The sequence below is a fragment of the Homo sapiens genome, chromosome 10, assembly GCF_000001405.40.
Source record: "Homo sapiens chromosome 10, GRCh38.p14 Primary Assembly".
NCBI classification, from domain to species: Eukaryota; Metazoa; Chordata; class Mammalia; order Primates; family Hominidae; genus Homo; species Homo sapiens.
Genome location: NC_000010.11, coordinates 73,382,419 through 73,400,070, shown reverse-complemented (window position 1 = coordinate 73,400,070; position 17,652 = coordinate 73,382,419). Strand labels below are relative to the sequence as shown.

At 39.9% G+C, this 17,652-nt stretch overlaps 1 protein-coding gene across 5 annotated transcripts in view; it reads left to right on the top strand.

The window, feature by feature from the left end:
• The window catches only part of ANXA7 (annexin A7), a 38,958-nt gene that overhangs the window by 13,988 nt on the left and 7,318 nt on the right, over positions 1 to 17,652 (top strand). For 3 of the 5 annotated variants that reach the window (NM_001320880.2, NM_004034.4, XM_017016162.3), the window contains 8 exons: positions 1,686 to 1,890; positions 2,797 to 2,907; positions 3,488 to 3,552; positions 3,962 to 4,027; positions 11,657 to 11,759; positions 12,288 to 12,382; positions 16,381 to 16,494; positions 16,726 to 16,896. In NM_001320880.2, coding sequence (NP_001307809.1) covers positions 1,752 to 1,890; positions 2,797 to 2,907; positions 3,488 to 3,552; positions 3,962 to 4,027; positions 11,657 to 11,759; positions 12,288 to 12,382; positions 16,381 to 16,494; positions 16,726 to 16,896 — 864 coding nt within the window. In that variant the 5' untranslated portion in view covers positions 1,686 to 1,751. The remainder of the gene's footprint in view (positions 1 to 1,685; positions 1,891 to 2,796; positions 2,908 to 3,487; positions 3,553 to 3,961; positions 4,028 to 11,656; positions 11,760 to 12,287; positions 12,383 to 16,380; positions 16,495 to 16,725; positions 16,897 to 17,652) is intronic. The other 2 variants (NM_001320879.2, NM_001156.5) reach the window with 1 other exon arrangement.

The window sequence follows — 17,652 nt, the reverse complement described above, 5'->3', positions numbered from 1 at the left end:
CCTGGGTTCAAGTGATTCTCCTGCCTCAGCCTCCCGAGTAGCTAGGATTTCAGGTGCCCGCCACTGTGCCTGGCTGATTTTTTGTATTTTTAGTAGAGACGGAATTTCACCATGTTGGCCAGGCTTGTCTCAAACTCCTGACCTCAAATGATCTGCCCTCCTTGGCCTCCCAAAGTGCTGGGATTATAGGCATGAGCCATTGCGCCTGGCCACATTTCAGTTTTTTGTTTTTGTTTTTGTTTTTGTTTTTGAGATGGAGTCTCGCTCTGTCACCAGGCTAGAGTGCAGTGGTGTGATCTCGACTCACTGCAACCTCCGTCTCCTGGGGTTCAAGCGATTCTCCTGCCTCAGCCTCCTGAGTAGCTGGGATTACAGGTACGTGCCACCACGCCCAGCTAGGTTTTGTATTTTTAGTAGAGATGGGGTTTCACAATGTTGGCCAGGATGGCCTCAATCTCCTGACCTCGTGATCCGCCCACCTCGGCCTCCCAAAGCGCTGGGATTACAGGCATGAGCCACTTAGCCCAGCCCACATTTTGGTTTTATACTCATAACTGTGGGGCTGCTATCTAACCCTGGGAGAATAGGAAGAGGGGTCTATACAAGTTTATGATAATATGTATCCTTATGCAAAGTGATTATATAGCTCTCGTGAATTTATCATAGGAGAGATGAGAATTATGGATATGTTCCCAAGTCCCTATGTATTAAACAGGACTGTAGTAACTATTTCAGTCAGTGTAGGCTAATTGCTAAAACAGACAACTCCCAAATCTCAGTGACTTAACACGATGAAAAAACAAATGTATTTCTTTCTTCAGTTTCCTGGACGTCAGTGGAGGATAGGGGGTGGGTGGGACGAGGCTTTGTTTCATGCAGTGTTTTGGGTTTCCAGGCTCCTTCCTTATTCTGATCCTACCATCCTTTAGCACTTTGGAGTCCTCCACTGGATCCTCTGCTTATGGGTGGCAGATGAAGGAAGAGAGAGAGCATGGAGGATTTGCCAGAGGTTTTTAGGGGACAGGTTTAGAAAGTGGTGTATCTCACTTTTGTCTATGTTCATTTACTGATATTCATTCATGTGGTTCGACCTAACTGCAAGGGGGTCTGGGAAGTGTAGTCTGTATAGCTTTGTGGCCTGGGGAGAAAGAGTTCAGTGAACATGCAACAATCTCTGCCACTCTGCATATTGCTGCTCTGAACCATGAAGTCCAAAATGTCACATCCGGTGTGTGATGTGATATACAGGTTACCTTTTTTATTTTTAAATATTATGTAACAGATCCAGATGTGTTGCAAGAAAGCCTCAAATTCCTCTGTTTAGGATATAGAGGAGGATCTTTCTCATATTTGTAGATGCTGGGAAAATGAAGGAACTGATGAGTTTTTTTTTTTTCTTAAAACCTTGAGGTTTGTAAAGAATCCTGTTCTGACTCCCAAATAGAGAAGCAGACCCCTCTTGCCTGACTCAAGTAGAATTAAATTTAACTGAATTCTGACAAACAAGTGTCCTTACAAACTGGTATACTGATAAACTAGTATAAGATACCAGGATTTCTAATGGGACTTTTAAAAAGTAAAAGAATGAGGTAGACCTTAATAATAACCTCTGTTTGTTCCTTATTTTTAGATGGGTCATATTTCTCTATGATCGTATTTGTTTAAAAATTATTCTGATTTTTCAGCCTGCAGGTCAGGAGTCATCTTTTCCCCCTTCTGGTCAGTATCCTTATCCTAGTGGCTTTCCTCCAATGGGAGGAGGTGCCTACCCACAAGTGCCAAGTAGTGGCTACCCAGGAGCTGGAGGCTACCCTGCGCCTGGAGGTTATCCAGCCCCTGGAGGCTATCCTGGTGCCCCACAGCCAGGGGGAGCTCCATCCTATCCCGGAGGTGAGTTACGGGTTGCGGAATTAGTAATGATTGGGATTGCTGTAGCACTTTTTCCTTCTCCCTTTATCCTCTTCATTCCTGCTTGTTTTGTATAAGGTCAAGTCGCTCTTAGGTAACCTTAGGTAGTAAGGACCTAGCTGGCAAGATGGAGGGATGAAGATTCTCTGGGGACATGAAAGCTGGGAGCAGTTTCAAAAATTCCACTGTGAAGGGACTTGGAATAAATTTCATGGCAATAAAGGACCAATATGTAACACTTTGCTTGTTTGTAGTCTTAAGACCTGATTAAGACATTTCAATTAGCAAGACTGTGACCTTTAGGTCAGCTTTATTCAAAGGTAAAAAAGACCCCAAAAAACAACAAAAAAACCTTAGCCCTTTTGTATTTTAAGTTAGTAGGGAAGAGTAATAAAGTAATATTTTGGCTGGGTGTGGTGTCTCACACCTGTAATCCCGACACTTTGGGAGGTTGAGGTGGGTGGATCACTTGAAGCAAGGAGTTCGAGACCAGCTTGGCCAACATGGTGAAACCCTGTCTCTACTAAAAATATGAAAATTAGCTGGGTGTGGTGGTGCATGCCTGTAATCCCACCTACCTGGGAGGCTGAGGCAGGAAAATCACTTGAACGTGGTAGGTAGAGTTTGCAGTGAGCCAAGATTGTGCCACTAAACTCCAGCCTAGGCAACAGAGTGAGACTGTCTCAAAAAATAAATAAATATATAAGGTAAAAATTTAAAAACTTATTTTTTACTGGAGAATTTGAAGTTTTGAATCTAGATAAACAGGGACTGCTATTATAGCATTAATAGCATATTTTTCCACTGTTAACAATAGATATTTTTCTAAAGTTTTTTCTGCAATCATGAGAACTGTACTATAGTTTATTGACATGTTCTTTTCTCTAGTTCCTCCAGGCCAAGGATTTGGAGTCCCACCAGGTGGAGCAGGCTTTTCTGGGTATCCACAGCCACCTTCACAGTCTTATGGAGGTGGTCCAGCACAGGTTCCACTACCTGGTAGGTACCAGCTGTCCAGAAAAAAACAGTATCATGATATTTTGAGTTTTTAAATCACCATTGAGGGAACTTAGTTTATATTTGAGATAATCTGCAATAAATGTTTATATTTCCATAAATAATTTTAAACATAATGGTTTTATGAAATATATTAAATTGATGGAAAAGTTTAATCAGTAAAATAGAGATAAAGTCACACTTTTTCTATTAAAAAAATCTGTCCCAAAGCCAAAAGGAAGCCTTCAGGAACTTCTCTGCCCACTCCTGTACCAATAGTAAAACCACCCCCAGAACTGTATTCTGACAACCATTCCAGGTGGACTCAGAATTTAATCTGATTCAAGTGTGAAAAAAGTATTATTTATGAGGATCTTATGTAGAACATGGAATATTAAAAAGGTTCTTATGACCAAAGTTGGTTTTAGATTCAGTAAATTATATTTTTAAAAACTATCCTCATAAGTATCATAGTGTGAATGTTCTTGTATGTTTCCATATTCATAGTCATCAATGCTGTTTTGAAAAATTAAAACATGTAAGACCTGTTGCCGTATTATTATTATTTTTTTTAACATTATAGGTGGCTTTCCTGGAGGACAGATGCCTTCTCAGTATCCTGGAGGACAACCTACTTACCCTAGTCAGGTATTTTGTTCCTACCTTTTAAGCTCACTCTAGGTAGCTAGATAAAGAAGGAACCTATCCTTTGCTGAGGTTTCCATGGGTCGGAGGAAATGGCCCATTATAGTAATGGAAGACTAAAGTCTTTACTTCTGATAGACTCCATACTTTCTTTGGTCCATCTGCTTTAATAGTGTCCTGATGACTTTGAGAAGACAAGCATAGGTCTATTCTCATAGGTAATGATTCTCACAACTTTATCCTGGAGATTAACCTGGGGTCTTGGTTTTAGTTCTTTTTCCTCTTCCTTGCCCTTACCAGCAGTTACACCTATGAATTTGGGTGGCTGGGTGATTGGTATTTCTGACAGTGATTTATGTAGGGTGGTTTTGTTTCCCATTTTTACCTTTATAACTTTTCACTCTTTTTTCAGATCAATACAGATTCTTTTTCTTCCTATCCTGTTTTCTCTCCTGTTTCTTTGGATTATAGCAGTGAAGTGAGTAAGGTTTTCTAATGTTTACTAATCACTAGGTCCTTTATATGTGCCTTTGTTTCTGATTCTCATGTACTTGTCTCTCACTACTTCTTAAGGGCTCACCTGTATCTATTTTATCTTTGTGTTCCTGTAATAATAGGTAGGGCTTTAGACATAGTAGCCAGTTAGTCTGTTGACTGGATTTTCTCATTAGCTGCAGAGTTTCCTATATGTCAAATATTTGCCCTACTCCGTATGGCTTCTTTTTTTTTTTTTTTGAGATGGAGTTTCACTGTTGGCACCCAGGCTAGAGTGCAGTGGCACGACCTCGGCTCACTGCACCCTCCACCTTCCGGGTTCAAGCGATTTTCCTGCCTCAGCCTCCGGAGTAACTGGGATTACAGGCGCACGCCACTACACCTGTCACATTTTTTTGTATTTTTAGTAGAGACAGGGTTTCACCATGTTGGCCAGGCTGGTCTCGAACTCTTGACCTCAGGTGATCCACCTGCCTCGGCCTCCCAAAGAGCTGGGATTACAGGCATGAGCCACCACGCACGGCCTGGCTTCTTATTTTAATCCCAAATTTTATTCTTAAATTACCTTGTTAATTTTTTTATAGCCTATGCAAGTTACTAGGAACAAAATAAGCAGTATACTTGATGCTTACTTTTATTTTGATTTTCTTATTGATTTCTATATTGGATATTCATGAATGTCTAGCATTTTCAAGCTTGTTTTAGGCTGGGGTAGGAGAAGGATTCTAGTATTGGAAGAGAAACATCTTAGTGATTTTTTTAGCTCACTTTCCTGATTTGAGGTATGTGAGCTCCAGAGAGGTTGAGAAACTTGTCTAGGGCAACACAACTAGTGAAGGACAAAGCTGAGAAGATTCTAGTCTATATCTTCTGCCTTCTAGACCAGCGGTCTCTCTCTTATACAAAGTTGCTTTGCTGATACAGTAAATGATACTCCTCCCAAGCATGTAGTAAGTTGCTTTCAGTCCTTTTTTTCATTGTTGAAGTTGTTTGCCAATCATATTATAAACCTGTAATCACTTTTGTTATGAAAATTTTGATTTTAGTTTAAGCATGCATATAATTTTAGAGAAATCATTTTACGACTGAATATGAATGACTTTTAAACATGAAACACTAAAAGTAAATCACATGTACTTATGCAACTTATTTTTATTTTTATTTTTTATTACACTTTAAGTTCTAGGGTACATGTGCACAACGTGCAAGTTTGTTACATATGTATACATGTGCCATGTTGGTGTGCTGCACCCGTTAACTCGTCATTTATATTAGGTGTATCTCCTAATGCTATCCCTCCCCACCACCCCAACCCCACGACAGTCCCTGGTGTGTGATGTTCCCCATCCTGTGTCCAAGTGTTCTCATTGTTCAGTTCCCACCTATGAGTGAGACCATGCGGTGTCTGGTTTTCTGTCCTTACGATAGTTTGCTCAGAATGATGGTTTCCAGCTTCATCCATGTCCCTACAAAGGACATGAACTCATCCTTTTTATGGCTGCATAGTATTCCATGGTGTATATGTGCCACATTTTCTTAATCCAGTCTATCATTGATGGACATTTGGGTTGGTTCCAAGTCTTTGCTATTGTGAATAGTGCTGCAATAAACATACGTGTGCATGTGTCTTTATAGCAGCATGATTTATAATCCTTTGGGTATATACCTAGTAATGGGATGGCTGGGTCAAATGGTGTTTCTAGTTCTAGATCCTTGAGGAATCGCCACACTGTCTTCCACAGTGGTTGAACTAGTTTACAGTCCCACCAACAGTGTAAAAGTGTTCCTATTTCTCCACATCCTCTCCAGCACGTGTTGTTTGCTGACTTTTTAATGATCGCCATTCTAACTGGTGTGAGATGATATCTCATTGTGGTTTTGATTTGCATTTCTCTGATGGCCAGTGATGATGAGCATTTTTTCATGTGTCTGTTGGCTGCATAAATGTCTTCTTTTGAGAAGTGTCTGTTCATATCCTTTGCCCACTTTTTGATGGGGTTGTTTGATTTTTTTCTTGTAAATTTGTTTAAGTTCTTTGTAGATTTTGGATATTAGCCGTTTGTCAGATGGGTAGATTGCAAAAATGTTCTCCCATTCTGTAGGTTGCCTGTTCACTCTGATGGTAGTTTCTTTTGCCGTGCAGAAGCTCTTTGGTTTAATTAGATCCCATTTCTTAATTTTGGCTTTTGTTGCCATTGCTTTTGGTGTTTTAGACATGAAGTCCTTGCCGATGCTTATGTCCTGAATGGTATTGCCTAGGTTTTCTTCTAGGGTTTTTATGGTTTTAGATCTAACATTTAAGTCTTTAATCCATCTTGAATTAATTGTTGTATAAGGTGTAAGGAAGGGATCCAGTTTCAGCTTTCTACATATGGCTAGCCAGTTTTCCCAGCACCATTTATTAAATAGGGAATCCTTTCCCCATTTCTTGTTTTTGTCAGGTTTGTCAAAGATCAGATGGTTGTAGATGTGTGGTATTACTTCTGAGGGCTCTGTTCTGTTCCATTGGTCTATATCTCTGTTTTGGTACCAGTACCATGCTGTTTTGGTTACTGTAGCCTTGTAGTATAGTTTAAAGTCAGGTAGCGTGATGCCTCCAGCTTTGTTCTTTTGGCTTAGGATTGTCTTGGCAATGTGGGCTCTTTTTTGGTTCCATATGAACTTTAAAGTAGTTTTTTCCAATTCTGTGAAGAAAGTCATTGGTAGCTTGATGGGGATGGCATTGAATCTGTAAATTACCTTGGGCAGTATGGCCATTTTCACGATATTGATTCTTCCTATCCATGAGCATGGAATGTTCTTGTTCTTCCATTTGTTTGTGTCCTTTTTTATTTCGTTGAGCAGTGGTTTGTAATTCTCCTTGAAGAGGTCCTTCACATCCCTTGTAAGTTGGCTTCCTATGTATTTTATTCTCTTTGAAGCGATTGTGAGTGGGAGTTCACTCATGATTTGGCTCTCTGTTTGTCTGTTATTGGTGTATAGGAATGCTTGTGATTTTTGCACATTGATTTTGTATCCTGAGACTTTGCTGAAGTTGCTTATCAGCTTAAGGAGATTTTGGGCTGAGACAATGGGGTTTTCTAAATATACAATCATGTCATCTGCAAACAGGAACAATTTGACTTCCTCTTTTCCTAATTGAATACCCTTTATTTCTTTCTCCTGCCTGATTGCCCTGGCCAGAACTTCCAACACTATGTTGAATAGGAGTGGTGAGAGAGGGCATCCCTGTCTTGTGCCAGTTTTCAAAGGGAATGCTTCCAGTTTTTGCCCATTCAGTATGATATTGGCTGTGGATTTGTCATAAATAGCTCTTATTATTTTGAGATACGTCCCATCAATACCTAATTTATTGAGGGTTTTCAGCATGAAGTGCTGTTAAATTTTGTCAAAGGCCTTTTCTGCATCTATTGAGATAGTCATGTGGTTTTTGTCTTTGGTTCTGTTTATATGCTGGATTACATTTACTGATTTGCATATGTTGAACCAGCCTTGCATCCCAGGGATGAAGCCAACTTGATCGTGATGGATAAGCTTTTTGATGTGCTACTGGATTCGGTTTGCCAGTATTTTATTGAGGATTTTTGCATCGATGTTCATCAGGGATATTGGTCTAAAATTCTCTTTTTTTTGTTGTGTCTCTGCCAGGCTTTGTTATCATGATGATGTTGGCCTTATAAAATGAGTTACTGAGGATTCCGCCTCTTTCTATTGATTGGAATAGTTTCAGAAGGAATGGTACTAACTCCTCTTTGTACCTCTGGTAGAATTCGGCTGTGAATCTGTCTGGTCCTGGACTTTTTTTGGTTGGTAGGCTCTTAATTATTGCCTCAATTTCAGAGCCTGTTATTGGTCTATTCAGGGATTCAACTTCTTCCTGGTTTAGTCTTGGGAGGGTGTATGTGTCCAGGAATTTATCCATCTCTTCTAGATTTTCTAGTTTATTTGCATAGAGGTGTTCATCCTATTCTCTGATGGTAGTTTGTATCTCTGTGGGATCGGTGGTGATATCCCCTTTATCATTTTTTATTGCGTCTATTTAATTCTTCTCTTTTTCCTTTTTTATTAGTCTCATATGCAACTTATTTTATGCAACAATTACCACCTTAAGCTGGAACTAAAACCAGTAGGTAGAAGTTAACAGAATGCAGAGTGTTAGATTTTGGAAGAGCTTTTAGATGGAAGTGAAATAGGCTACCCTGTGAGGGGTGAGCTTCTTGTCACTGAAAGTCCACAGGCAGATTTTGGTTGATGTTGAGTATGGATGTGTCTGTGTGTATCAAGGAAGGTGTAAAAAAAATTTTTGTCTTAGATGGGAAGTTGGGCCAGTTTATCCCTCCTGATTGATCCAGTTCTCTAATTCTGTTATAGTCTTGTTGTTGTTGTTGTTTCATTTGTTTGTTCAATTTTGAGTCAGGGCCTCACTCTGCTGCTCGGGTCAGGCTGGAGTACAGTGGCGTGATCAAAGCTCACTGCAGCCTCGAAATGCTGGGCTCAAGCGATCCTCCTGCATCAGCCTCCTGAGTAACTGGGACTATAGTTGTGCACCAGCATGCCCACCTAATTTTTTAATTTTTGGTAAAGATGAAGGTTTTGCTGTGTTGCCCAGGCTGGTCTTGAACTCCTGGGCTCAAGCGATCCTCCTGCCTCAGCCTCCCAAAATGCTGGAGTTGCAGATGTGAGCCACTGTGCCCAGCTCTATGATAGTTTTTCAGCAAGAAGGTTGGAATCAAATGGGCATTAAAGAAGAATAGCAAAGGTTGGAACTTCTGGTAGCAGATTTTGCTGAGAACTCTCCCCTAGAATTTAACCTCAAGAACACAGATCCTGATTTCTCTCTTTTTTTTTTTTTTTTTAAGAGACAGAGTCTCACTCTGTTGCCAGGCTAGAGTGTGCAGTGGCGCGATCTGGGGTCACTGCAACCTCCGCCTCCCGGGTTCAAGTGATTCTCCTGCCTCAGCCTCCTGAGTAGCTGGGACTACAGGTGCGCACCACCACGCCCAGCATTTTTGTATTTGTAGTAGAGACAGGGTTTCACCATGTTGGCCAGGATGGTCTCAATCTCTTGACCTCGTGATCCACCTGCCTCGACCTCCCGAAGTGCTGGGATTACAGGCATGAGCCACTGTGCCCAGCCCAGATCCTGATTTCTTTGAATTCAGTTTAATGCCTGGAAGATGACAGTATTCTTGAAAATTTACTTCAAACTTAGACTTTCGGCAGAGAATACATCAAAAAAATTTTTCCCTACAGATGAAATATGAAATCAATATATATATATGTGTGTGTGTGTATATATATATTTTTATATATATATATATATATATATATATTTTACAAAAGAGAATCACAGAAAATGAGAATCATCAAATGGTACACAGTGAGGGTTAGTTTATCTATTCCAGTGTATTAGAAACAATGGCTTCTGTCCTATTTAGGATTTTAGTGACAGCGGTTACATCAAAGGAAACTTAGTTTCTTGAGACATGAAGGCTTATAAAATTTTTTTATACTCGACTATTTGCTACAAGTAGAATAATTTTGGCTTTCTATTAAAACCACTATAGGTATATTTGTTAGTTCTCTGCTTACAGCCCTAGCTTGGAAACTAGTAGAGGATGGATGCTAAGGCTTACTGGTAGAAGAAAATGTTGGAGTAAAAATATATATGAGTGGGAGGAGCTATTGACCCATAAAAGTGTTATCTTGAAAAGCTGCTGAAAGATGGGGCTTGTTCTCATCTCCTCAGTTGCTTTGCCCCCACAAATGCTGGTGTACTGCTGTATTCAATGTGTATAACTTTAAATACAGTTTCTGTTGTCTAAAAAGCATTGAATCATCTTTTATTTTGAAATGGTATTGATTGCATGTTTAAATGATAATACTTTGGAGGTATTGGATTAAATAAACTGTGTGTGTGTATATGTGTGTTTTCTGCAGTGAAAACACTTATTTTACAACAGTAATCTTTATTTTAGGTCAACATTCAAACATACAAGAAATGTGTTGTTACAATTAAAATTTTTTTAAAAAGTAGTGGAGCATCATCTTCATCCCATCCCTCTTAAGCCCTGACTTGAACACCCTAAGAAACTTCTTGAATTATTCTGGGCTGGCCGCACACCTGTAATTCCAGCACTTTGGGAGGCCAAGGCAGGGGGATCACTTGAGGCCAAGAATTCGATACCAGCCTGGGCAACATAGCAAGACCCCCGTCTCTACAAAAGTAAGAAATTAGCTGGGCATGGTGGCACATGGCTGTAGTGCTAGCTACTCAGGAGGCTGAGGCAGGAGGATTGCTTGGGCTCAGGAATTCAAGGTTACTGTGAGCTATGTTTGTGCCACTGCACTCCAGCCTGAACAACAGAGTGAGAGCCTATCTCTAAAAAATAAAAAATTGGGGGAAACTATTGAATTATTTCATAGCTTTGTATTTTAAATTGTTTTATCTTTTAATTTTGACATAATTTTAGACTTGCAAAATAGTACAAATAATTTGTATATACCCTTTACTCAGATTCTCCAAATGTTAACTTCCTACATAAACACAATGCAATGATCAAAATCAGGAAATAACATCGATATAGTACTGTTACCCAACCTACAGACCTTATTTCAGTTTCACCAGTTGTCTCAATGATGTCCTTTTTCTGGTTCAGGATCAAATCCAGAATGCAATGTTGTATTTATTGTCATGTCTCTTAAGTCTCCTTTAATCTGAAATAGTTCCTCAGTCTTTGTTGTTCATGCCCTTGATGCTTTTGAAGAACACTGTCAGTTATTTTATAAAATATTTCTTAATTTGGGTTTGTCTGATATTTTCTCATGGTTAAATCCAGGTCATGCCTTTTTGGCAAGAGTACCACAGAAATGATTTTGTGCCCCCAGTGCATCATATCAGGAGACACTTATTATTGACTTATTCCATTACTGGTGATAATTAATTTTGATCATTTAAGTTGGTGCCTGCAAGGTTTCTCTGCTATAATGTTATAGGTTATACAAATATCCTGTTTCTTTATACTTTTGCCACCTAATTTTAGCACCCACTGTTGATTCTTGCCTGAAACAGTTACTACCATAGTATTTGCTAAATGGCAATTTTTAATTTTCATATAGATTTATTTCATGTATAATAATCAGGGTCCATATAGGAAATTAAGAGAGATTACTAAAATTATATTGCTGGTTTGAAATCTCACTGGGCATTCATGTGCTACTTCACTAAAGCCATTTTATATTCTTCTGTTTTTAAATCAAACATTGTCGCTCATCTCACACCATTCAGGGATCAGTCTTCTTTTTTCTTCCTATTCTACCAAAAAGGAAACTATAGTAAGATTGTGACTTTAATTTCACAAGTTTGGCCATCTTGTCTCCTGGAAGTTTGGTGTCTGGCTATCTGTTGGCAGGAGAAAAATCTGTCCTGAAGGGGGATAGGTCTTTCCTGTCTGTTCCATAATGAGCTCTGGTAATAAAATGCTCATATCCTTGCCTTAAAACCCAAACATTGGCCTTCTTACTTAAGATTGATGTCTGGGGAAGTCTTTAAGTTTCCTCATTAGAAACTTACTGGAAATGCTGACACGGATTTTATGCCTTTTATTTTCAGCCTGCCACAGTGACTCAGGTCACTCAAGGAACTATCCGACCAGCTGCCAACTTCGATGCTATAAGAGATGCAGAAATTCTTCGTAAGGCAATGAAGGGTTTTGGTAAGGAAAACAAATTTTTGTCTTTTTTAATAAGTTAAAGTAATCAGTTCTAAAGTAAAAATAAACCTTATCTCATAAACCCAAGTTTATGTGTCAGCCTGGGTGCGCATACCTGGATTTAATCTGATGTCTAGTGCCTTGTAAGCATTCTAAGAGATGACCTCAGGCTGGGTGTGGTGGCTTACACCTGTAGTCCCAGCACTTTAGGAGGCCGAGGTGGGCAGATCACCTGAGTTCAAGACCAGCCTGGCCAACATGGCGAAACTCCATCTGTACTAAAAATAAAAAGTAAAATAGTTGGGCATGGTGATGCATGCCTGTAATCCCAGCTTCACGGGAAGCTGAGGCAGGAGAATTGCTTGAACCTGGGAGGTGGAGATTGCAGTCAGCCTAGATCACACCATTGCACTTGCACCCCCAGTCTGGGTGACAAACTCCGTCTCAAAAAAAAAAAAAAAAAAAAAAGATGACCTCAAGCAGCACCTAGCATGTACTTTGTCCTTACTTAAACATGTGTGGTTCTTCCAGGGACAGATGAGCAGGCAATTGTGGATGTGGTGGCCAACCGTTCCAATGATCAGAGGCAAAAAATTAAAGCAGCATTTAAGACCTCCTATGGCAAGGTATGTTTTTCTTTCCTGGAATGAGCACCAGCAGTGGCTGGTAGACTCTGCATTCATGTCAGATTGGATACTATATTTTGATTAGTACCTGTGGTGCAAAAGAGGGACAACTAGACTTTAGAGACCTCAAGGGTACTGTATTCCCTATTTCTGTTTTTTGTTTTGTTTTGTTTTGAGATGAAGTCTCGCACCAACATCCAGGCTGGAGTGCAATGGTGCGATCTCAGCTCACTGCCGTCTTTGCTTCCCGAGTTCAAGCAATTCTCCTGCCTCAGCCTCCTGAGTAGCTGGGACTACAGGTGCACAGCATCATGCCTGGCTAATTTTTGTATTTTTAGTAGAGACAGAGTTTCACCATGTTGGCCAGGCTGGTCTCTAACTCCTGACCTCAAGTGATCCGCCTGCCTCAGCCTCCCAAAGTGCTGGGATTACAGGCGTGAGCCACCATGCCTGGCCTATTTCTCTTAAAAGGCTTTTTCATTCTAGAGTAGTCCTTGATCTCATAATCATACCTTACCCCAGTCACATATGTGATAGACATTCAGTAGAAAGTAGATCACAACTACAATCATGATCAAGAGGATGGTTCTCAGTCTTCTGCCTGTTACAGTGGGATTCAAGGCTTATTACATAGCCCTTGTTTATTCTTGGTCCTGGGCATCGCCTTCTGCTTCTCTCCCTTTCTCTAAACGTGTCCTATGTTAAAATTATATGGACTGAGCGTGGTGGCTTACGCCTGTAATCCCAGCACTTTGGGAGGCCAAAGCAGGAGAATTTCTTGAGGCCAGGAGTTCAGGACCAGCCTGGGCAACATAGGGAGACTTCATTTCCAACAACGATGACAACAAATTATATTAGCTGGGCGTGGTGGCGTGTGTCCATAGTCCCAGCTGCTTGGGAGGCTGAGGTAGAAAGATTGCTTGAGCCCAGGAAGTCAGGCTGTTAGTGAGCTGTGATTGTGTTACTGCACTGTAGCCTAGGTGACAGAACAAGACGCTGTCTCAAAAAAAAATAATATGGAAATGCTTGCCATTCTCTGTACACGCCATGATCTTTTATGCTTCTGTGTTGTGTACATGCCATTCTCCTGGCCTTGAATACCTTTTCTTTTTTTCATGGCAAACTTCTTTAAGATTTGGCTTAAATATCAGCTACTCTGAAGTTTCTTTCATTAGTCTGGACAGAATTTAGCTGCTTCTTAATACTGTAGTCCCATAGCACTTTGTAAAACCTCTGTTATTACTAATCTCACGGCCCACCCCCAAAAACTGAGCTCCCATAGGACAAACCATGGTCATAGTCATCTTTGTATTACAGTACCAAGTATATAATGGCAAGTAGCCACTTAGTACTTGTTGAATGGATGATCAGTTTCTAAATCCAACAAGATTCTATGGCTAAAAAATGCCATTGTTCCTCAGATGTAATGGGAAAACATGGATAGCACTGCTTTGCTTTTTTTTTTTTTTTTTTTACTTTTTTTTGAGACAGAGTCTCAAAAGGCTGGAGTGCAGTGGCATGATCTCCGCTCACTGCAGCCTCCACTTTCCAGGCAAGAGCGATTTTCGTGCCTCAGCCTCTCGAGTAGCTGGAATTATAGGTGTCTGCCACCACACCCAGCTAATTTTTGTACTTTTAGTAGAGACGGGATTTTGCCATGTTAGCAAGTGTGGTCTCAAACTCTTGGCCTCATGTGATCTGCCTGCCTTGGCCTCCCAAAGTGCTGGGATTACAGGCATGAGCCACCACGCCTGACCTGCTTTGCCATTTAGATAGGAATCCTAAAAATATCCTAATGTTCTCTGCATCTAGTTTATATTTCTCAGAATGGGGTAGTGGTCCATTGATTGGTCCCACCTTGCTTATTCTATTTTGCCTTTCCCTGTCTGCCCAGCCCAGTGACTGATTATGCAACACAAACCCTAGATCTCCTTAAGCTTCAACATCAGACTCACTATTCTCACAAAGATATTTTCCATGTTATGAATTTTTTATCTAGTCTGCACAATGCTGTCTCAAGTTTTTTTATATATTGCTTTAGAATTAAAACTAACAATCTAATTTCCGTACCACTAGCCACCTCTTTTCTTAACTTCCTAATTAGTAAAACACTGTTTTTCTAGCCTGCTATAGTCATCTTTGAGTCCATGTTTTTCTTTTATCATAGGGAGTATTCTGTATGCTTTGTCCTAGCAGTTGGTTATTTACTAGTTTTTATTGATCTAATCTATAAAATGGCCCTTTAAAATGTTTCTTTTGTCTACTTTGTTCCTTCTCATTTCCATTGTTACCATTCAAGTCCAAGACTTTATTACCTCTTAACTAAATATTCCAGTAGCCTAAATGTTTTCATCTATAGCTTCTTTGTCACCATCATCCATTCTGAATATTGTTGCTACATCAGTGCCATTTTCTTGCATGAAAAGTTTCCAGTGGTTCCTCCCAGCAAACAGAATCAAGTCCATATTCTTTAGCTTGGCATTCAGTGTAATAATCCAAGATTTAGTTACAACTTTGTTTTAACTCATCTATTATGAAAACCTTCCTCTGTAGCAAAACCGGTTGTCTTATTGTTCCATTGAACAAGCTTTGCTCATTCTTGGCTCTATACGAGTAATTCTCAACCTTAACTGAACATCGTAATTTCCTTTAAAACTTAAAAATACACAGAATCTCTGAGTCTTAGTCCTGGACATCAATGTTTTTCTTTTTTTTTTTAAAGCTCCACAATGAATGTAATGAAGAGTCAAGGCTGGGAACCCCTTCTCTGTTCCTTGGTGGTGTTCCTTCTTACCTGAAATACCTTTCTCCTTCGTCTTTGCATGCTAATTTTTACATTTTTCTCTGAGCTCTCCAGCTGACTTTGAACTTTTTCTGTTTCAACTTTCTCTATTACTTATTTCTATGCTACTTACCCAGTGCTAGAGTACAGGTTACCTTACATTATTTTTTTTTTAGATGTGTATCTTTCCAAATAAGAACAATATCGGCTGGGCACAGTGGTTCATGTGTGTAATGCCAGCACTTCGGGAGGCCAAGGCGGGTGTATCACTTGGGGTCAGGCATTCAAGACCAGCCTGGCCAACATGTGAAACCCCATCTCTACTAAAAATACAAAAATTAGCCTGGCGTGGTGGGATGTGCCTGTAGTCCCAGCTACTCAGGGGGCTGAGGAAGGAGAAGCGCTTGAACCCAGGAGGCAGAGGTTGCAGTTAGCCGAGATCACACCACTGCATTCCAGCCTGGGCCACAGAGCGAGACTCTGTCTCAAAAAAAATAACAACAAAAAACAAATAAGAACAAGATGATAATGGTTTCTACTTCCTCATAGAACCAAGAACAGTTCCTTTTACTAAGTAAATATCTGTTTATCATTTTGTCAGTTTGAATAATTCTTTGTTTCATATATCCCTTGTTTTTGTACCTGGTAGAGTGGAATAAGATTTTATTAAATGTTTATTGATAGAATGAATAAAATAGATCTGCTTGAGTGTAATAAATGTGTAAGTGTAACAGACTTTAAATTTATTTACTTCTTTTTTATTTCTATTTATTTATTTTTTTTTTTGAGACGGAGTCTTGCTCTGTCGCCCAGGCTGGAGTGCAGTGGTGCGATCTCAGCTCACTGCAAGCTCTGCCTCCCAGGTTCACGCTGTTCTCTTGTGTCAGCCTCCCGAGGACCTGGGACTACAGGTGCCTGCCACCACTCCCGGTTAATTTTTTGTGTTTTTAGTAGAGACAGGGTTTCACCGTGTTAACCAGGATGGTCTTGATCTCCTGACCTCATGATCCTCCTGCCTTGACCTCCCAAAGTGCTGGGATTACAGGCATGAGCCACCGCGCCTGGCCTTTATTTACTTCTTAGTATATTAACATTCAGCTTTCAAATTTAGGTTTTTATAAAGCAATTCCATTTCTTTTTTTGTATTTTCCTTAAAAGATTTAAGTGACAAAATTTGGAGAACACATATACTTAGCTTGTATTTGTGATTAAATAGGATTTAATCAAAGATCTCAAATCAGAGTTAAGTGGAAATATGGAAGAACTGATCCTGGCCCTCTTCATGCCTCCTACGTATTACGATGCCTGGAGCTTACGGAAAGCAATGCAGGTACTACTATATGTCATTTATTATGAATATTTTGTCCTATTTCATATGTAAAACCGTACAAATTATGACAGTTCTGAATTTACAGTGGTAATTAAAGCAATTCTTTATTTCACATCATCCATCTGAATATATAGTTTTTAGTTCTACAGAACAAAGAAATATTTGACGAAGATTTAATTACTTGCAGAAATTTCATTTTTCTTTGTATAATCTTCCCTTCATTTCATGTAGGGAGCAGGAACTCAGGAACGTGTATTGATTGAGATTTTGTGCACAAGAACAAATCAGGAAATCCGAGAAATTGTCAGATGTTATCAGTCAGAATTTGGACGAGACCTTGAAAAGGACATTAGGTCAGATACATCAGGACATTTTGAACGTTTACTTGTGTCCATGTGCCAGGTGAGTATAGTATGAATGCTTGTGCGTTGATAGAGGGAACATACTTTAAAAGCCTTTTGCCAGTGAGCATTCTTTATTCCTTTTAATATTTAGCCACCTTGCAATATTGCCATCTTTAAGAGGGACAACACAGAAACCAGTGTACAGATTTCTTTGTAGTTACTATTGAGATTTATTCCTGTAAATCTGGCTTTTGTAAGGAATTAGAGATTTAACCTCTAAGGTTGTATGGAATCAGAAACCAATTCGAGGCTCTGTGGCTGGGATGGGGATGAAACTGTACATTTGAGCTTATCACTATCCTGCCCATTATGCCCCACCATCAAGTGAAGATGTGCAGGACTGCCATAGAGGTGCTACAGGAAGTGAGGACTATGTGAGGAGACCCAGAAATGCAGAAAAATGTTTTAGGGTTCCCAGTAATAACTGTGATTAGCACCTTCTTTATTTTGATTCCCCAGGTGTGCTGGAGAATTGACAGAAAATACTCCAAATAGGGTATTTGGAATGGCATTAGAAACACACTTAGGGCCAGACATTGTGCCTCACACCTGTAATTCCAGCACTTTTGGAGGCCAAGGCAGGAGGATTGCTTGAGGCCAGGAGTTTGAAGCCAGCTTGGGTACCATAGCAAGAAACCATCTCTATAAAAAATATTTTTAAAAATTAGCCGAACATGGTGGTATGTGCCTGTAGTGCCAGCTATTCAGGAAGTTCAGTGGGAGGATCACTTGAGCCCAGGAGATTGAGGCTGCA